The 20076-nt window shown below is 48.0% G+C and overlaps 1 long non-coding RNA gene across 1 annotated transcript in view; it reads right to left on the bottom strand.

Moving 5' to 3' along the window:
* Positions 1 to 10133: 10133 nt before the first annotated feature.
* The window catches only part of LOC107984933 (uncharacterized), an 82158-nt gene continuing 72215 nt past the window's right edge, over positions 10134 to 20076 (bottom strand). Inside the window, exons 2-3 of the long non-coding RNA XR_001737955.2 lie at positions 17532 to 17648; positions 10134 to 15627 (exon numbers count right to left, since the gene is read on the bottom strand). This is a non-coding gene — a long non-coding RNA (uncharacterized LOC107984933). The remainder of the gene's footprint in view (positions 15628 to 17531; positions 17649 to 20076) is intronic.

Genomic DNA, 20076 nt, shown 5'->3' with positions numbered 1-20076 from the left:
ATTTGTTCTTCTTTCTCTACTTTTTAAAACAAGTTATTGATTTTGAGATCTTCTTTTCTAATACATGCATTCAGTGCTATAAATTTCTCTCTAAGTGCCACTTTAGCTGCATCCTACAAATTTTGGTATGTTGTATTTTCATTTTCATTTAGCTCAAGATAATTTTTTATTTTTCTTAAGACTTTCATTTCAATCCATGGTTTATTTAGAAGCATGTTACTTAATTTCCAAATGTTTGGGAATTTTCCAGGTATATTTCTGTTATTAATGTCTAGTTTGATTCCATTAAAGTTAGAAAACATACTTTGCATAATTTCTGTTCTTTTAAATTTTTTAAGGTTTGTTTTGTAACCCCAGGTATGGCCTATCTTGGTGAAAGTTCCATGTGTACTTGAGAAAAACATGAATTCTGCTATTGTTGGGTGGAGTGTTATATAAATATCTATTAGGTTAACCTGGTTGATAATATTGTTCAAATCTTGAACAATTATGGATTAGTTTCAATTGATTGGTTTTCCTCCGCATTATGGGTCATATTTTTCTGCTAGTTTGCATGCCAGGTAATTTTTGACTGGGTGCCAGACATTGTGAGCTGTATCTTCCTGGGTGGTAGATATTTTCATGTTCCTATACATGTTCTTGTGCTTTTGTTCTGGGATGCAGTTTTTACATTCACACAGTTTGATCCTTTCAGGTCTTGCTTAAGCCCAAAGGAGTGTTCAGTCTTGGAATAACCATTCCCCATTCCTGAGGCAAGACCCTTATATGAATTCTACTCAGTGTCATGTGAGTCAGGAGGCATTCCCATCTGGCTGGCGGGAACAGACACTATTCCCAGCCCTATGTGAGTATGTGGCACTGTTCTCTGGGTGGTATTTTCCCCCAGCCACAGGAATATTCATCCTATGTATGCCCTGGTTAGAACTCAGGTGAATACTTGAAAGGACATTCTGCAGATCTCTCTCTCTGCATCGCTCTCTCCTTTCCAGGACTCTGTCCTGTGAACTCTAAGCACATTGGTCTTCCTAGACTCTCAGCACCGTCTCCTCTACTCAAGGAGTCCACTGTGTTCTGTTTGGATTCCCCCTCCCTGCACAACATACCACTGAAAGCTCTCTCAGAGCAGTAAGCCGGTGACATCACAGGGCTCACATCATTTGTTTTCCATCTCTCAGAGACCACCATTCATCGCCTGTTGTCCAGTATCTTGTGTACTGTTGTTTTATATTTTTTTAATTGTATATATTGTGCTCAATTTGTGGCAGGAAAAATTCAGTCCCTGTAACTCCATCTTGTCCAGAAGCAAATCCCCTCATTTTATTCTTATATACTTTTACATTGTGTGATGTAAAAGTGTATAACTCACTTGTAATACATTTCTAAATTAAAATGTATGTTTACAACGCACTTGTATTACTTTCTAAATTAAAGAAGAAAGATACTCTAATTAAGATTAAGGTGCAGGAAGGTGTATGTTCATTAAAGCGCTATTCACAATAGCAAAGACATGGGATCAACATAAATGCCCATCAGTGGTAGACTGGATAAAGAAAATGTGAGATATATATATATATAAAACATGGAATACTATGCAGCCATAAAAAACAATGAGATTATGTCCTTTGCAGGAACATGGATAGAGCTGGAGGCCATTATGCTTAGCAAACTAATGCAGGAACAGAAAACCAAATACCACATGTTCTCACTTATAAGTGGGAGCTAAAGGATGAGATCACATGAACACGTAGAGGGGAACAACACACACTGGGATCTATTGAAGGGTGGAGAGTGGGAGGAGGAAGAGGATCAGGAAAAGTAACTAAGGGGCACTAGGCTTAATACCTGGGTGACAAAATAATCTGTATAACAAACCCGCATGACTCAAGTTTACCTGTATAACAAACCTACACATGTACACCTGAACCTAAAATAAAAGTTCAATTTAAAAATATGTATATTAAGATGCAGGGAGAGGTGAATAACTCCAACCCAGCAGCTGCCTGTGATACATTCTTTCTTCTGGGTTCTACACCCTTGTGCTACCCTGAAGTGAAGGTCCTGGGGCCATGATGCTGGCCCTGCTGGCTACAGCTTCTGGTAGAGTGTGCCAGGCCATCTCCACTCTTATCTCAAGAAAATTGCTTTCAATTCTATGTAGTTATGGGGAAGTGCATATGAGTTGAGCCAGGTCCTCAGAGCATAGCAAGACAGGCCAAGATGGTCACTTCCTGGCAAGGGCTTGGCTGTGTCTGCCCAGTGTTCTCCCATTGTGCACACATGCCCTGTGAGCTCACATAGTTTTGAAATGTCTCCAGCTGTTGGTGGGAGGGGCTCCAGCCACATGACATTATACAGATAAACCCTTAAGCAAAGAGTACTGAGAACTTGCCTCTCTGACATTTTGCCACCAGCTCCGCCACAGCCCAACAGGTACATTAAATGACTAGAGTTCATAATGAGATACTCTAAGGGCTGAAATAAAAAGAGGGAGAAAAGTGGGAGGACCGCAAAATGGGCTCCTGCTTGAGAGCCACGTTGTTGTGTTGCTGTCACTTTTGGCAGAGGGAGCATCAGGCAGGTTCTGGGGGACTCCATCCCATTGTGGCAGAAGAGACAACACTAGCCCCATCAAGAGGATGTCAGTTCCACATGGACCCACAGAAGCGCAGACAGCTGCTCTGTTGGCCTTCGACCTGCAGGGCACAGATCAGTTTTGTGAAACAGAAAACATCAGTCCATTCAGCTGTGTGATGGAGTTGGGGGCTCCAATGCCATGCATTGAACACCTACTATGTGCCAAGCCAGGACAGGCCCCAAAGACGCTGCAGCAAACAAGACAGGCGAGGCCTCTCCCCCATGGACAGTGGTCGTCACCTTCACCATAAGTCATATATTCCTTGGTTGCTATGGCTGCAGTTCTCTGCTAAGTGCTTTACACGCATTTTTTTCAATTAATTCTCTCAAACACCCTCTGAGGTAGAATTTTACAGAAAAGGAAACTGAGGCTTAGAGGAATTAAGCATGCTCCCCACTAGAGGCAGCATGTTTTATATTTTTTTAAATTTTAAAATTTAGAATACTTTCTAAGAGGCAGCATTAGAGTTTGAACCCAGATCTCCTCTGTCTCCAGAGCCAAACCTGAAGCATTGCAGGCTTCAGCATCTCTCATTCTCTAGAACTGCGCTGTGTGGCACTGGGTGAGTTGTTAAACCTTGTACAATTGGCTAAATAACCCCTCCCCTGGGTACATACTTGTGTGATTTCTAACAGCTCTTCAACTCAAGACAAGGGTTCCTAATAATTATTTCCCAAAATCCTATGTGTCCCTAAACCTGGCCTTCTCCAGTGTTCAGATTTCTGCCCCCACGTCACTGACCTTCCTTCTGACTCCTGACCTAAGCAGCCAGGCATGAAGGCTCTGGAGTCTCCTGCACAGGTCCATAGGTGAGGGGAGGGACCAACTGGGGGCAAGTGGTGATGGCTGGAGAGAGTTCTCTAGGCTTTGTTGGCTGACACCTGCGAGGCAAAGCACTGAGCTAGAATGGTGGGATTGGGGAAGGAAACTGAGTGAGAGAGAGGCTTAACCATCTCCCAGTTTGGGAGCCTTAGGCCTCAGTGTCCTTATCTGTAAAATGCAAATAATAAGTTCAAATAGTTTATTTAGTAGTGGGGAGTGACATGATAATGTGGGAAGAAACATGGAGCCCCATCCACAGCCTCTCCCAGCAAAGATAAAACAACATGAACCATTTGGAATTTTTACAGGCAGATGATAGAAAACCCAATCTGAACTTAAGAAAAATTGAATATATCAAACGCAGTAACTGAAAGGATTATGAGGAGTTCAGTTTCTGACCTGGCTTCATCTAGGGTGAGCCCATGATCTCCCCACAACTTGGTTTCTCTCTCCCTATCTCTCTTTTCCAATTTTTCTTATCTGGCTACATCTTCAGACCTGCTCTCCATTGATAAAGATGAGATGTCTGCCGCAACAATACACCTGCTCCAGAGGTCAAAAAGTTTCCCTGGCAGGCTCAGCATAAGTCCTAGAAGTCACTTTGATTTCCTCCCTGTTTTTTATTATTTTCTTTCTTCAGCTTACTTTGAATTTAATTTGCTCTTCTTTTTCTAGTTTCCTAAGGCAGCAGCTACAGTCATTAATTTGAGATATTTCTTCTTTTCTAATATAAATTTTTGGTGCCATAAATTTTCCTCAAAGTACTGCCTTAGGGACATCCCACAAATGTTGACATGCTGTTCTTTCATTTACATTCAGTTCAATATACTTTCTAATTTCCCTTTTGTTTTTCTTTGATCCACAGGTAACTTTACAAATGTGTTTTTTGTTTGTTTGTTTGTTTGTTTGTTTGTTTGTTTTTGTTTTGTTTTGAGATGGAGTCTCGCTCTGTCGCCCAGGCTGGAGTGCAGCAGGGAGATCTCAGCTCACTGCAAGCTCCGCCTCCTGGGTTCATGCCATTCTCCTGCCTCAGCCTCCCAAGTAGCTGGGACTACAGGCACATCCACCATGCCCAGCTAGTTTTTTTGTATTTTTAGTAGAGACGGGGTTTCACCGTGTTAGCCAGGATGGTCTCAATCTCTTGACCTCATGATCTGCCCACCTCGGCCTCCCAAAGTGCTGGGATTACAGGTGTGAGCCCCTGTGCCTGGCCTACAAATGTGTTTTTAACTTCCAAACTTGGTGGGGTTTATAGGGAAAGTTCTTATTTTCATTTCTAATTTAATTCTATTACTGCCAGAACATAGTTTGACAACTTAAATCCTTTTAAATTTATTGAGATTATTTTATGGCCAAGAATGAGGTTTGTTTTGATAAATGTTTAATGTGCATTTGAAAATAATGTATATTTTTCTGTTGTTGGAAACAGTGGTCTATGAATATCAATTAGGTGGAGTTGTTTAACAGTGTTATGCAAGTTTTCTGAGCCTTACCAATTTTCTGTTCACTTTTAAAAATCAGTTATTGACAGAAGAATATCAAAATCTCTGACTATACTTATGGATTTGTCTATTTCTCCTTACAGTTTCATTAGTTTTGTTGCATGTATTTTGAAACTCTGCAATTGGGGGCATAAAAGCTTAGGATTCTTATGTCTTCTTGATGAATTAATCACTTTATCATTAGGAAATGTCCTTCTTTATCCCTGGTTATGTTGTATGCTCTGAGATCTATTTCTTCTGATGTTAATATGACCACTCCAGCTTTGTTTTGATATTAACATCGCATATCTTTTTCAATGCCTTCTACTTTTAAGCTATTTGTTTCTTTATATTCAAAGTGCATTTTATAGACAACATACAGTTGGATCTTGCCTGTTTATCCAATATGACAATCTCTGCCTTTTAATTCAGGTAATTAGACCATTTATGTTTAATGTAATTATTAGTATAGTTAAAGTCTCTTGTCATTTGTTTTCTATGCTTCTCAACTGTTCTTTGTTCCCTTTTTTCTTTTTCTGCCATTTTTCAGATTGAGTTTTGTGTGTGCATGTGATTCCATTCTATCTTCTTTATTAACTTATTAGCACCATCTCCTTGTTTTGTTATATTAGTAGCTGGCTTTATGGTTTATAGTATACATTTTCAAACTATCACAGCCTACCTTCAAGTGACATCATACTACTTCATACTATATCCTACTATTATAATATGACATAGTATCATACAGTATGAGAATTTTACAACGTATACATTCTTTTCTCCCTTCCTGGCCTCTGTGCTATATTTTCTGATACGTTTTACTTCTACATTTGTTATAAATCCCACAATCCATTGTCATTGCTTTTAATTTATAACCAGGTAATTATCTTCTAAAGGTCTTCTAAATAATCAGATAAAAAACCTTTTACTATTTACCCATGTAGTTACTATTTACCCATGTAGTTACTATTTCCTGTGATTTTCATTCTTTGTGTAAATCAATATTTTCATCTGGTATTATTTCCTTCTGCCTGAAGGATTCTCTTTAACATTTCTCATAGTGTAGAATGAATTTGCCAAGAATCTGTTATTCCAGGCTTTTTCACCCAGACACCCAACACCACAATTTCCCAGGAATTATGCCCTCCAAAAAATCAAAGTGAACCAACATTTCCTGTCAACCGTGTGGGGAAACAGTGTATAAATACCACAGAGCCACTAGCCAGACACTCTTTCGTCTAGTATTCAAGGTCCTTCTAGAGCTGATTGTGACCATTCCTCAACCCACTTCTCATATGCTTACTATCCCTAGAAAGTCTCTGCTGTTTTCTGCCTCCATCCTTTGGCATACATTGTGTTTTGTTCTCCTAAACATGTCTTTCCCCAGCTCATCCAATGAGCAAACTCCTATTCATCCATCAAAAGCCCAAGTAGAGGCCACAATCTCTGAAAAATACCCCCTGCCCTCTCCCAATCCCTGTAGAGTAAATCTTCTTCTTTCTACTGCTTCTGACTATGTAACTTCTTCTTTTTTTTTTTCTTTTTTTTTTGAGACGGAGTCTCGCTCTGTCACCCAGGCTGGAGTGCAGTGGCGCCATCTCGGCTCACTGCAAGCTCCGCCTCCCGGGTTCACGCCATTCTCCTGCCTCAGCCTCCCGACTAGCTGGGACTACAGGTGCCTGCCACCACACCCAGCTAATTTTTCGTATTTTTAGTAGACACAGGGTTTCACCATGGTCTCAATCTCCTGACCCTGTGATCCGCCTGCCTCAGCCTCCTAAAGTGCTGGGATTACAGGCGTAAGCCACCGCGCCTGGCCTATGTAACTTCTTATACAGGAGTCATTATCAACTAGATTGTAATTTATTTATTTGAATAAATCTCTCTCCCATGCACAGGTACAGAATGCTGTAAGGAGGCCAGTACAGACCTTGTCCAAGGCTTGAGCCATTAGCTAACACTGAAACACTCTCGCTTCCAACTCTAGTAAATGGGGGGACTGGGGAAGCAGCCAAGCATGTGCCCAATCACTCCCCTGGCTTGAAGTTTATACCCCTTTGAGATGCAGAACTTCCCAAGGACAGAGACTAGAACCTCATCTTCTTTGTCTCAGTAGTGTCACTGCCAGCAGAGTTTGGCATTTAGCAGGTGTTCAGGAACCAGGAGGTGAAGTGTATTATGGAGCCAGGAAGGGGAAATTTTCTCTGCTTCTGTGTGAAACTCACCCCTACTCTGGTAATTAGATGATGGACACCTCAGAGAGCATGAGGACCAGACCCCTTGGCAAGGACACTGCCATCCCCATCTCTGCTGGGACACCACCAATAGGGCACCTCCAGGCACCTCTGGAGGCTCCTTGAGTAGAGATCACTGAAACAGCCAGGGGGAGGACAGCACAGCCTCCACCTGGTGACTGTAGTTGGTAGGTTGGTTTGTGAACCCACGTGAACCACCCCAGGGACTCCCAGCGAGGTGCTTTGCAAGGGATGGCTGTTCCCTTGAGTACAGGAAGATCTTAAGGCTGTGCAGACCAGCCTTCCTGTGATGACCTGCTGCATTTCCGTGCTAGCTAGCGTGAGATCGCTAGCTACAGCAGACCCCCAGCTGGGTGCACATGTTCCCCTGTGCGCTCCTCCCTTAAGGTCTCTGCAGCCCAGAGTCAGGGTCTAACTCAGAAAGAAAACCTGGCCCATTTTGGTCCCTATCACATCTCCAACTCTGGAGCTATCAGAGTCTGTGATGAGCACAACGGCAGCTGGGTCCAGGGCTGTTTGCACAGAAACATGCTGCACCCCACCCACTCAGATCTGTGCCAGGGACATGAAGAGTTCAGCTCACTTGATCTTTTTCTTCTAAGAAATCAGTGTGTTTTTGCTGGAACCAAGCAGTGTGAAAAGTACAATGTGTGCAGGTGTCAGAGGCATAAAAACCAACTTCGGATTCTGCAGGTTCTATTTGTCTCACCCATGGTCACCTGCTGCCCTTCTCCTCCAGGGTCACCAGGGACTGGCCATGCACAAAGCCCTGTGCTTCAATCCCCTGCGCAAACAAAGGAACAGTGTTTTCTTTTATTTTCTTTGTTTTTTCCCCTCTTTCTCTTCCTATTTCCTTCGTCCTCCCTTGCTGCCTGTAGTCTCTGAGAACAGAAAAACACAATCTCAGAATGGTATTGCCTTCCTCTAATCAGAGGCTAATTCCTTTGTCACAGAGCTCAGAGATGGAGATTTCCAAAGGAGACAGATAAGAAAGATACTGACCGTAATTAACATTTGTCTGCTTTGTGGAAAACAGGAATTATTCCAGGGTGTGGGTTTCTTTTTAAGAAGCTTCAACATAAGAGACACTGGGAGGCCAGCCATGGATTAGCAGATACCCCAGGAGGAACAGCAAGAATTCAGAGGAAAGGAGGGATGCCAAGCTGAGAGATGAGAGGATGAGCCTTGAGGCAGGATTGAGGGGACCTCGTGACAGCGGCAGGAGCCCTGGATTCCCTCTACCAGGACAACAGGATGTTCTGGGCATCAAAGGAAAGGAGAGAGGGAAGGTGGTGCCTGGATCAATTCTGCCAAGTTTGCAAAACTGTTCGTAGTTTCAAACCTTTCCTAATCTCCTGTCCATACCCAATTCCATCATGCCGTGTTAGTGAAAATAATCTTCTGAATCCCAGAAAATTAGAAAGTGATGAGGGAGGATACCCAGTGACCAGAGTGGAGCACACTCTGGGGAAGAATCAGGAAATAAGGGCGGGGCTGGGCAGACCCAGTAAGAAGCTGTTATAGTCCTCGGGTGAGTGATGGTGGTGGCCTGGAGGGGAGAAGGAGACAGATCTGTTACAAGGCAGCAGGTGGAATCAGCAAGACTTGGTGGCCATGGCCATGTGGAATAAGACTCATGAGAAATACGTATGTGGCAAGGTCCACATCTAAACATGAACTGGGTTCCAAAGCTGATGTTTCTGAGGCAGAATTGACAGTCCTCAGGGACAGTGCAGACATGGAGAGGGCTGGGAGCAGAAGAGGAAAGAAGATGTCAGAATTTTACATCCCACTCTCCTCCTGTACATTCTGTCCAGGGCCTTTCCGACCCTGATGTGATTCGCCCAGTGTCCTAATGGCCGACCCATCCCTCCCCAGCCACTTGGAAGAAAACTGAACTTGGAGTTCAGCAGAAGGACAGAAATATTTTTAAAAAACCATCAAGAACATAGGCCGGCTGGGTGCAGTGGCTCACACCTGTAATCCCAGCTACACGGAAGACTGAGGCAGCAGAATCGCTTGAACCCAGAAGGCAGAAGTTGCAGTGAGCTGAGATCACGCCACTGCACTCCAGCCTGGGTGAAAAAAGTGAAACTCCATCTCAAAAAATAAAAAAAAAAAAAGAACATAGGCCCAGCTTCCTGCACATGTGACCTGCGCAGCCACGCAGGGCCCTGCCCTCAGAAGACCTTAGGTTTGGTTTAATGCTCTGCTGTTGCTGTCTTGAAATTCTTAACAACTTTATCTCTGAACTTGTGTTTTGTAAGTGAAGTCCAGTGGAGTATACGCAAGTGAGCAGAGGAGATCCACGCTCTATGTGTCTGCTGTTTCTTGCTGCCCCATCTGCATAGAACACTCACAATATCCTGTGAACTGAGAGTTCTAGGTGTGTACGAGGTCAGCGAGATGCAAAGTGAGCACAAGACAGGAGTGTTATGTCTGTGACCAAGTGAGTGGGGATGCTGACAGCCCCTGAAAGACCACCCTTCCTGTTTGAACCAGAACGGTCTTCAAATGCAGAAAGAGGCAATGGTGTTCTAAGAAATATAAATGACCAAGAACCTTATCATGTCCTTTCTTACCTGCCTTACTGCCCTGCACTAACCAACTATTTGCACTGCAAATGATGATGGAGAGAAAGGAAAAGACAAGGCAACTCATGGTTTCTTTTCCTTCCAATCTTTCTTTACTCAGTCATGATCCAAAGGTAGAGCTTGTTGGCAGAATGTGCATATCAAGAAGTGAAATAAAAGCACTTAATTTTGTGCTGAATTTCCACTCTTCTGATAAGAATGAAATACCTGCGCATGAATGACCCATGAGATACAAATTGTATCATTTCAGTGATTCTGTTTGTCGTTGAATGCTCCTATAATTTGTATTTAAAACTGGCATTGCATAACATAAAAATGAATGATAAAGTTCATGCTAATAATCTAAAGTTCTAAATTTTTACTTAGAACATTAAATAGCAAATAAAAAATAACATGACAAGGGAGAGACTTCGGCGGAAAAGAAAAAACTTTATATTAAAGTATATGTCATGGCATTTCTTGTTCTCCGCTTTTTAAACAAGGGCATCACATATCCGTGTTTCACTGGGCCCTACAAATTATGTAACTGGTCCTGCAGGGAGACGTCAACACACTTCTCCAGGGCAGGGAGGCCGCGTCCATGTTATGTAACTCCTGAGTAGCAGGTTGTGCTAATTAAGCAGGGAACTTCAGGACATGGTGCTGGAGGAAGTTTTAATTACCTCTCCTCTGAAGGTTGGGAGAAGGTGCGGGGGTGGGGGTGGCAATCCTGCAGGAGAGCGGAGCCCAGGCCCCTCAGAGGTGGAGTTGAGGATGGAGGGAAGTACGGAGGGAGGAGGGGAGGCTGAGGTCACCCAGCTCGCGCCCTTGCCTCTACCATCACCGTGCCTGAGCCCTCACACGTGTCGCAAGCCTGGGGGATGTGGACTGTCACCCGTCTGACAGATGAGGACACTAGGGCCTGAGTGGTGAGGAGACTGGTCCAGGCCCCATAGTCAGGGAGGGCAGAGCTATGTGGTCACCACACGGGGACAGAGATGTCATCGCTGCCCTCCAGACCCTCAGTCCGGGGGAGACAGATGGTGGCAGCACCGTGCGATCTGATGGGGGACACACAGACAACGTGGGAGCCACAGGGGCCCCTAGCCCAACCTGGGGGGTCAGGGAGCTCCCTAAGGAGGTGCTGTCTACATCGGGGCCTGCAGGAGAGCAGGAGCATAGATAGATATAAACATAGACATAAATCCTCCTCCTGACATTTAATGAGTACCTGGGTTGCTGGGAGTAGCACATCCGCGGCCCTCACACACAGTGGGTGCTCAGTAAACCTCAATGTCCACCTCTCCTGAAAAAGACCTGCAAACTCTATAAGTTGCGTCCAATGCAAAATCAACGATGAAAGAAGCTCCTGTATGAATCCTTGATCAGAGCAGCCTTGGGTCCCCAGCCCCACTCTTCAGAGGTCCCAGCAGGACTTGGAGCCCAACTCAGCCTAGGTTTCCTAACATAATTCGTGTGGTTTTTGCACAGACACACTTTACATCCATTATTTAGAATAAGTCTTCCAGGCTGTTCAAATTTCAAATAAAAAATTCTCCCCCAGAGGAATGGCTGCACTCAGCAAAGGTCGCACATAAAACACACCGAACTGGACGGGAAAGGAGGCAAGGACTGGATTAAGCAGCAGTTGCCATTCATTAGGGGAAATTGTAGCATCTCCTTTCAAGGAGCACTTGCTCTGCCAGGGCTGCGAAGCCCAGATGACTGCACTCTCCTCCCCGCCACCTCAGAAATGCGTAATTTAGGAGCTCTGAGAGGCGCTGCTTCTTAAGGCAAGTTGTGTTTTCTGAGCGCTGCTTCCTTGGGCCCACCAGAGCCCTGCACGGTGAGAAGAGGATCATTACTGCCACTGTAGGGGATGGAGACACGCAGGCTGAGAGGTGCAGGGACTTGCCCAGGATCACACACAGCAGGAAGAGGTGGGCTGGACTTTGAACCCAGGTGTCTCTGACTCTAAGGCTCCTTCTCCTTGCCCCCCATTCTCCTGCTCCCAGGGAACACGGGAAGATTACGGCAGGAAACGTGAACAGAGAAATCAGCCCAATCCAGGCAGACACTCCCCAGGCTTTAGGTTCAACCCACTCCTCTGCTCATTTACATATATTTGCATGCCAAGGCTCCAGAGACCTCAAGTATAGGCAATAAAGTTGATTAATTACTGCAACCGACCAGTGGGCACTTAGCTGCAGGATACACTTCATCAAGGTAAAAAATGGAACAGATTCTGAAAATGATCTGCTTCGTCACCTCCCAGTTCAGTAGAGTTGACCCTAAACCAGGCTCAGTCCCCACCACCATCAGCACCTTCTAGTCATAAGAGAGAGGCTCAAGGGGAAAGACCTCCCAAGCTCAGTTTTCTGGGAGAACAAATTAGATACAAATATAGATGGCATAGGCCGGGCGCAGTGGCTGATGCCTGTAATCCCAGCACTTTGGGAGGCCGAGGCGGGCGGATCACCTGAGGTCAGGAGTTCGAGACCAGCCTGGCCAGCATGGTGAAACCCCTTTTCTACTAAGAATAGCAAAAAAATTAGCCATGCATGGTGGCAGGCACCTGTAATCTCTCCTACTGGGGAGGCTTGGGCAGGAGAATTGCTTGAACCCAGGAGGTGAAGATTGCAGTAAGCCGAGATCGCACAGCAGCCTAGGCGACAGTGAGACTCTGTCTCAAAAAAGATAGATAGATAGATAGATAGATAGATAGATAGATAGATAGATAGATAGATAGAGACAGAGAGAGATGGCATAGATAGATATAGACACAGACATAGACCTAGACACAGACATAGATATAGATACAAAAAGGGCCGTGAGAAGCAGGATGGATAACGACCTCTGTTCTCTGCAAACTGGCCAGAGGCAGAGCCTTCTCCCAGCCCAGAGCCACAAGGAGGCTCAGACAACTCCCCACACCCAGAGGTGAAAGGACTTCCTAGGCAGAGTGAGGAAAGGTGATCTGGCCCAGGTCACACAGACAGCACTAAGAGGTGGCAGGCTCCCCTCCAATGGGCAGCTCTGGACTCCCCCCAAGGGACCACCCATTAATGCCCTGCCCCTGAGTGACCTAGGAGGAGGAAGCTGGGTGGGGACCTGGGGGACTTGAGGCCTAAATGAAGTCACACTGCGTTCTTTAAACTGCCCAGCCCCCTTCACAGGCACAGGAGGGATCCTGGTTTCTCACAGCAGAGGCCAGAGTCATGCACGGGTTGGGGGCTGAGGGAGGGCTGGGCGGTGAGTAAATGCACTGGGGAAGGGGAGCTCGGGGCTGATGGGGAATAAACCCACGCCTGGTGAATGAGGGTGCAGGTCCTGAGTGGGCGGGCGGGGGAATGGGAGAGAAGAATGAATGACCGCCCGGGGAACAGGAGACAGAGTGAAGCCCAGGTGTGAGGGAGCTGGGGCTGCCTCCTTCAGTCTACACTGCTGCCCTGCACAAGAGCCACCAGCGTCAACCCTGCCCTGTAGGAGGAGCGTGGGCACAGAGAGGTTAGGCAACATGCCCCACGTCACACAGCTCATGGGGAGAGAGCTGAGATCCCAGCTTCCTGTGTCCCCACAACGTGCCTCCGGCTGCTCCCTGACATCTACCCTGGGCTGGTACCAGGGCCCAGGCTCATCAGGGGACTTGGCCTCATTTATTCCCCAGTTGGCATTTGAAGTGAACTTAATGAGATCCAGCCCTTTATGTCAGAATAAAACCGTGCCAGACCCTTCTAAACTGCCCTAATGTTCCGGTGCTGGGTTTCAGCATCAAATCATTCCATGTGCTCAGGGCTGGGGTTTGGCTGGGCACGGACCTCGTCTGTGTGATGATTGTTTCTGGTGTGTTTTCATTGGTTCCACTTTTCTGCTGCTGCCTGGCTGGTGGGGTCCCAGGAGGCTGGGCAGCTACACTCTCTCCCCAGGCTGATACTGGGCACCAAAGGAGGGTGGAGGGTCTCTGCAGGAGGCTACCTGTGCCTGTTATGGCTCCCAGCGCCCTCACCCCACCATCCTGGATGGTGGCATCCAGGGCCCACTGCCCCCAGACCAGGCCTGCACTTTGCCCCCACATCCTGACACTCCGAGTCTTCAAATGCTCCCAGCTCCCAGGGCTTGGCACAGGCTGTTCCCTGCGCCTGGAATGCCTTTCCCAGATCTTCTCCATCTGGAGAATCCTGCTCATCCCCCAGGCCCAAGGATGGAGGGACAGGAGGGAATTAATATATTTTGCCTTGGCTGTGCCAAGAGCCGTGCTGGGAGGTGAGTGCCCTGCGTGAATCCCAACACAGCCCTGCACCAATCACACAGAGGGGGCTTCATGATCCCATTTCTCAGATGGAGAAACTGAGGCTCTGAGGCATTGAGTGATTTCCCAAAGTTACCTCATGGTCAGCGGCAGGGCTGGGATAACTCTGACCAGCCTTATTTGTCACCTCTGGCCCCAGGCATCCTCTCTACCCCTGAGAACAGGATCATTCCTTCTCCCAGAGCACCACTGAGCTTCCTTCCTGGTGGGCGTTCCTACCTGCCCACCCCTGTCCCTGACCGGCCCCTCCTCCAGAAGAGGAGCAGACTGGACACCTCTTGCTTGTTTGGGTGAACTGAATTGAACTGAAGTGAGCCAAGCAGCCCCATCGGTTCCTGCGTCCTGGTGCCCAACTCTGCCCTAGAGGGAGGCAGACACCTCTGGCCAAGGACCAAGCTGTGCTTGGCTGTGTTAAGCCTCTGTGTGGGTGTCCAGATCACCTTACATATTCAGTTCTTCGTGGGAGGAGGAGCCAGGAGCCAGATTGGTAGGTGGGTCATGTGGAGGCAAATTTAGTCTCAGCACCAGCAGCCTGATCTGCCCAAGAATGGAACAGGTGACCCTGTCAGATGGTGACCTCACCGTCTCTACCAGAGTTCAAACCATTACCCAGGACAGTGAAGAGAGGACTTCCCGCATGACCAGGGGGAACTGGGCTAAGGTCACGTCCTGTGCTAAGATGCTGATTCCACGATATTAGATATCTTCTAATATCACTTCTCCCGATTGTTCTGTGATTCCAGGGGTCTGAGCTGCGTGGGTGAGTCTCCAAGTCTTCCCCAGAGATCCTTTCATTCTGAGAGTCTTGAGTCTGTGAGTCCACAAATGATTCTGTGATCCTGGGATTCTAGGATTCTGTGACAGGGAGCAGATGCTCAGATTCTGTGATTCAAAGCTTTTATGAAAGTGTCTTGGAGCTCATGAAAGAAGCTCTGACTCTGAGATCCCATGTGTGACAGCTGCCATGGAGGGGACTGCAAGATCTGAAAATCCTCCACCCGAGTGTGAGAAGGAAGGTTCCAGGACCCTCTCCTCCTGTTTCAGAATCTGCAGGAGGACGTTGAGCCAAAGATCTCTAAGCTCCTCTCTGCATCAAAATGCAGGGTCCTGGTCACTGACTCCAGATTCCCCCCTCCCATGGCTCACCCCAGTCTCCCCCTCCCAGCACCTCCATGTCTGAGTGGGTTAAACGGGCCCTGAAGCCCCAGGTGGCGAAGCTATGAGCTCAGCCCTTGGCAGATGCATCCCGGCTGAACACACGGCTGCTGCCGGGGTTGCTGTTTTCCCAGCATATTAACTATGAGGAGCGAGACAGGACCTTTGCTGAGTGGAGTTTTCTCGTGACTCTCCCTTGGCATGAGCAGCTTGGGCAGCAGGAGCCAGGAGCCCCTTGTCTTTCATGTCTGTTTATTCTTCTGGTGGACTCGCCCTGCCCCACCATGGAGGTCTTCTCCCATATTTCCCCATTTAATTGGCTGAATTCTCAGTGGGCTCTGAGCAGCAGCTGTCCTGCCAGGGTTAGTTCAGGCTTCTCTGGGAAGAAATTTGATTTCTGGGAAGGAGAGAAATGAGAGAATAGGCATGGAGGGGCTGGAACTCTGGAAGAGACGGGATCAGTACTGAGTCCCCCGGGACATCCCAGGGCAGCCCCCTGCCCACCCATCCCAATCTCAGCTGCTCTCCAGCAGGAAGGTTGGGGTCCAGGGGTGGCCTGTCGCAGAGAGGAAACCAGAGCCCAGAGCCCAGTAGACTTGGCCGTGGGGAGGGCACAAGCCACTCCCCTCTCACACCCTGAGAGGTGGATCTTGTGGTCTCAGCCTATAGTCAAGGACAGGGCAGCTCTGAGAGGCTGTTCAGCTCCCCAGTGGGCGGCCAAGCTGGACTTACACCCAGCCTGCCTAGCCCCAAGCCAGGCCCTCTCCCACATGGCCAGCTGTCCTGCTCAAGGTTCGAGGAGGACACCCTAGTGGGGACTGCCCACAGGATGCTTTGCGAGGATTGGGGTGTCGAGCTCTCAGTCTCTTCCCTACTGAAAGCCATGGGTCACTTCACCCAGAATAACTTCCCTGAGGAGCCAGGCACAGAGTGGCTCATGCTTATAATCCTGGCACTTTGGGAGGCTGAGGTGGGAGGATTGTTTGAGCCCAGGACTTTGAGGATGCAGTGAGCCATGATCACATCAACGCACTACAAGCTGGTCAACAGTGAGACCTTTTCAAAAAAAAAAAAGAAGAAGAAGAAGAAGAAGGAGAAGGAAGAAGGAAGAAGGAAGGAGGAGAAGGAGAAGGAGAATGAGGAAGGAGGAAGGAGGAGAAGGAAGAAGCAGGAGGAGGAGAAGGAGAAGGAAGAAGGAGGAGAAAAGGAGAAGGAGGAAGGAGGAAGCAGGAAGGAGGAGAAGGAGAAGGAAGAAGGAGGAAGAGGAGAAGAAGAAGTAGAAGAAGAAGAAGAGGAAGAGGAGGAAGAGGAGGAGGAAGAAGAAGAAGAGGAAGAGGAGGAAGAGGAGGAGGAGGAAGAAGAAGAAGAGGAAGAGGAAGAAGAAGAAGGAGAAGAAGAAGAAGAAGAAGTCATCCACCCTAAGGATAACAGTGACACTACTAATAACAATAATAATGATCACACCAATCCCCACTACTCTGACTGGGCCGACCCTGTGCCAAGCTCCTTCCAGCACACCACCCTCTTCATCTCATCAACCCTCACTACAACCCTGTGAGCTGCTATGGCTCACCCCACGTCACAGATGAGGAAACTTAAGCTCACAGAGGTGCAGCAACCTGCCCAAGGCCCCTCAGCCCCAGACAGAGCCAGACTGGCCCCGGGTGTCTAACTCTGGAGCTCAGAGGCCTCCTCTGCATCTCCCACACTGGAGAAGCTTCTCTGATACTTTCAGGCGTTTCGCTGTCCCCACCCTCCCCTTATACAATGTTGACTCACACGTCCCTTTAAACTGATTTGAAATGGGGCCCCTGTTTTCCATTTGTCTCACTCTGAGCAACAATATCCATGAAATCAAGGCTTCAATCCACTAATTGCTTGTGGGCTTTTTCCTGATACTATTAAAATACATACATGACTGGGAAACTATGAAATATAAAATGTTTGTGCATGCACAACCCATGCATATCCCAGTGAGTACACCCCACTCCCTGGGCAGCTCCAGTTGCTATTGGAGAAGTGGCAGGATCCAAGAGAAGGCGGCACCCTGGGTGGACATGGCCTGGCCCCTACCAGCCCAGCCCAGCCCAACCCAGCCCAGGGCAAGGCCAGTTCCTCTCCTTCCTGGAGAGGCCCCATCCACACCTGCTGCTCCCAGGCAGGGTCTGGGCAAAGGAAACTCCACGGCAGCTGGAAGGGGCCGGCTGAGCATGGGCCTTGTATGGGAAAGCCCATCAGGGGGATCCAAGGCTGTGATGACCCCAAGGGACCCGAGAATGGGACGCACACTGGGGTACTCACCACGTGCTCCTCCTTCTTCCCAGAGGAAGCCCCAGGCACTGAGGGGCAGGATTCCAGGCTCTGCACCACCCCAGGGAGAGAACCCAAAAGGTGGCTTCTGTTCAGGTGCCAAGGGTCCTACCGCAAACAAAGAGGAAACTGCAAGTGAAAATCTGACAATAAGAAAAGGGAACAGAACCTTCCAGAAAGGCAGCCACATCCAAACGAGCCCTGGCAACAATGGCAGGGTAGGGAACAGGCAGAGAAGCTTCTGGGAAGTAGTAGGGGCTATGGGGAAGGGCATGGGGAGTCCAGACATGGTACCAATCCAGGCAGGGACACCAATCCAAGTCCCCTGAAGAGTACATGGGGGAATGAGAGGTTTTCCACTGGGGAAGAGAAGCATCAGGGGCCTCATGGGGCAGACAGGCCCAGGTTCAAGTCCCAGCCCTTCCCTTTACCACTGCAAGGGCTTGCTCTCTGAGCCTCATTTTCCCCCATCTGGAAGATGGGATCAAATAGTACCTGCGTCCTGAAGCTGTTGTGAAGAACAGCAGTGTTTAGCATGTTCATCTTCAACAGTGAGGGTGCCCAGCCCGTACTCTGCACTTTGCACACATCCCCTTATTTCACAGTCTCCCCTAAGCAAGGAGAATTATTCTTGCCATCTCCCAGGGGAGCAAACTGAGCCCCAGAGCTGCAGTCACATGACCACAGCCACAGGCCATGCCAGGGACAAGGCCCACCACACCAGGAAGGAGGAAGGAGGAGAAGGAGAAGGAAGAAGGAGGAAGAAGGAGAAGGAGGAGGAGGAGGAAGAGGAGGAGGAGGAAGAGGAAGAGGAAGAGTCCATGGTCTCTCCAAGGTGTCTGTGTTGGGGTTCCTCCAACACCTCTGCTCAGTGTCTCTAGTATCCCCCTGCCCCCACCAGGCTGCAGTGACTGGGGCTCACAAACAATTATATTCTGATTTGAGGACAAAGGACTTAGCCATTTGCAAATAGGAACAAGAGAGGATAAGGCACAGGAAGGTGTCTCCTGGGCGTGCCCCTTCTCAGCCCCCACTTCACTCCCAACACACAGGTCTTGGCTGCTGCCCCCCGAATTACAAAGACTCTACACATACAAAGGCCAGGGAAAGTGGAGGTGACCCTCACACAGACACTCCAGAGTCATATGTGGAGGATGGCCCAGCTGGAGAAAGGGGTGTAGCCTTCTCTGACACCACAGACCCATGGTTTGTCCTATGAGCAAGGTCATTGCCTACCTTGGGAGTTTTTGGGAAAAGGAGATTAAAGAGTGAGATGCTACTGATATCCCTCAAGTGACAGGGGTAAAACCAGCTCTCTCTGATCAGGTCTGAGCCAACCCTAGTGCTGAGGACTGAAGGCTCCTCATTTCTGGAGACTCAGAGTCCCCGACACCAGACTCTCCCATACCAGCCCCACGCCTGCCATTCCAGGCCCAGCCTCTTCAAAACACAGCACCCCAAAGCCGAAGGAGCCTTCACACTCACTCCATCCAGTCTCTGGGGCCCATTTCACAGGTAGGAAAACTGAAGCACAGAAAGTGCCACCAGACAGCAGCAAAGAGAGAGTGAACATAACAGAAATTTCTGAGACAACAGGCCTGACTTCAAATTCCAGCTCCCACTTCAGTGCCCAAGGCGGGGTCTCCTTTAACGTCTGGAAAATGTTCATCTCCCACCTCTCTGCATCTAGCCCAGGGTCCTGCACACATTTGTTTGCCTTAGTTCCTCTACCTGCAAAATGGTCTGTAAAAATGGATCACAGCAAAGTTTAAATTAGAAAATCCATGTAAAGCCCCTAGCACATAGTAGGTACCCAAGAAGCAATAGGTGAGACCTTTTCAAAAAAAAAAAAGGAAGAAAGAAGAGGAAGAGGAGGAAAAAGAAGAAGAGGAAGAAGAAGAAGAAGGAGGAGGAGGAGGAGGAGAAGGAGGAGGAGGGGAGGAAGTGGAGGAGGATGGGAGGAGGAGCAGGAGGAGGAGGAGGGAGAAGTGTTTAGCATGCAGCTTCGTCTTGAACAGCGAGGGCACCCGGCCCGTACTCTGCACTTTGCACACATCCCCTCATTTCACAGTCTCCCCCAAGCGAAGAGAATCATTCTCCCCATCTCCCCAAAAAGCAATAGGTGCTTCTTGGGTACCTACTATGTGTTAGGGGCTTACATTCTGAGAGCTCAATAGAGGACCAAGGCTGTCCTGACCCAAATCCCCAGATATTGCATCTCCGTGGGCAGAACAGCCCCTGCCTACACCAGCATACCTGCTGCCAACTGAGCTCTGGTGGCTGAGCTTCCGAGCCACAAGGTAGCTCTGAAGAGGAGGCAGGTGCAGCCTCAGTTAGCAGGAAGCCCCTGAGAAGCTCCTGTCTCCTCCCCTATTAATTGCATTGGCATCTGGAACAGATGGGGTGCTGGGACTTTCCCCCCATCTTTCACAGAACTCTGAACCAGGACATAAGCCATGTAATTAAAAGAAGAGAAATGCAAAATAATCCTCTTAGTGAGACTTAACCATCCTCCCTCCCTTTTAAATCTATTAAT

The sequence above is a fragment of the Homo sapiens genome, chromosome 1 (assembly GCF_000001405.40).
Source record: "Homo sapiens chromosome 1, GRCh38.p14 Primary Assembly".
Taxonomy (NCBI): Eukaryota; Metazoa; Chordata; class Mammalia; order Primates; family Hominidae; genus Homo; species Homo sapiens.
The sequence above is the reverse complement of the archived record's forward strand: the minus strand, read 5'-3'. Positions and strand labels throughout refer to the sequence as shown.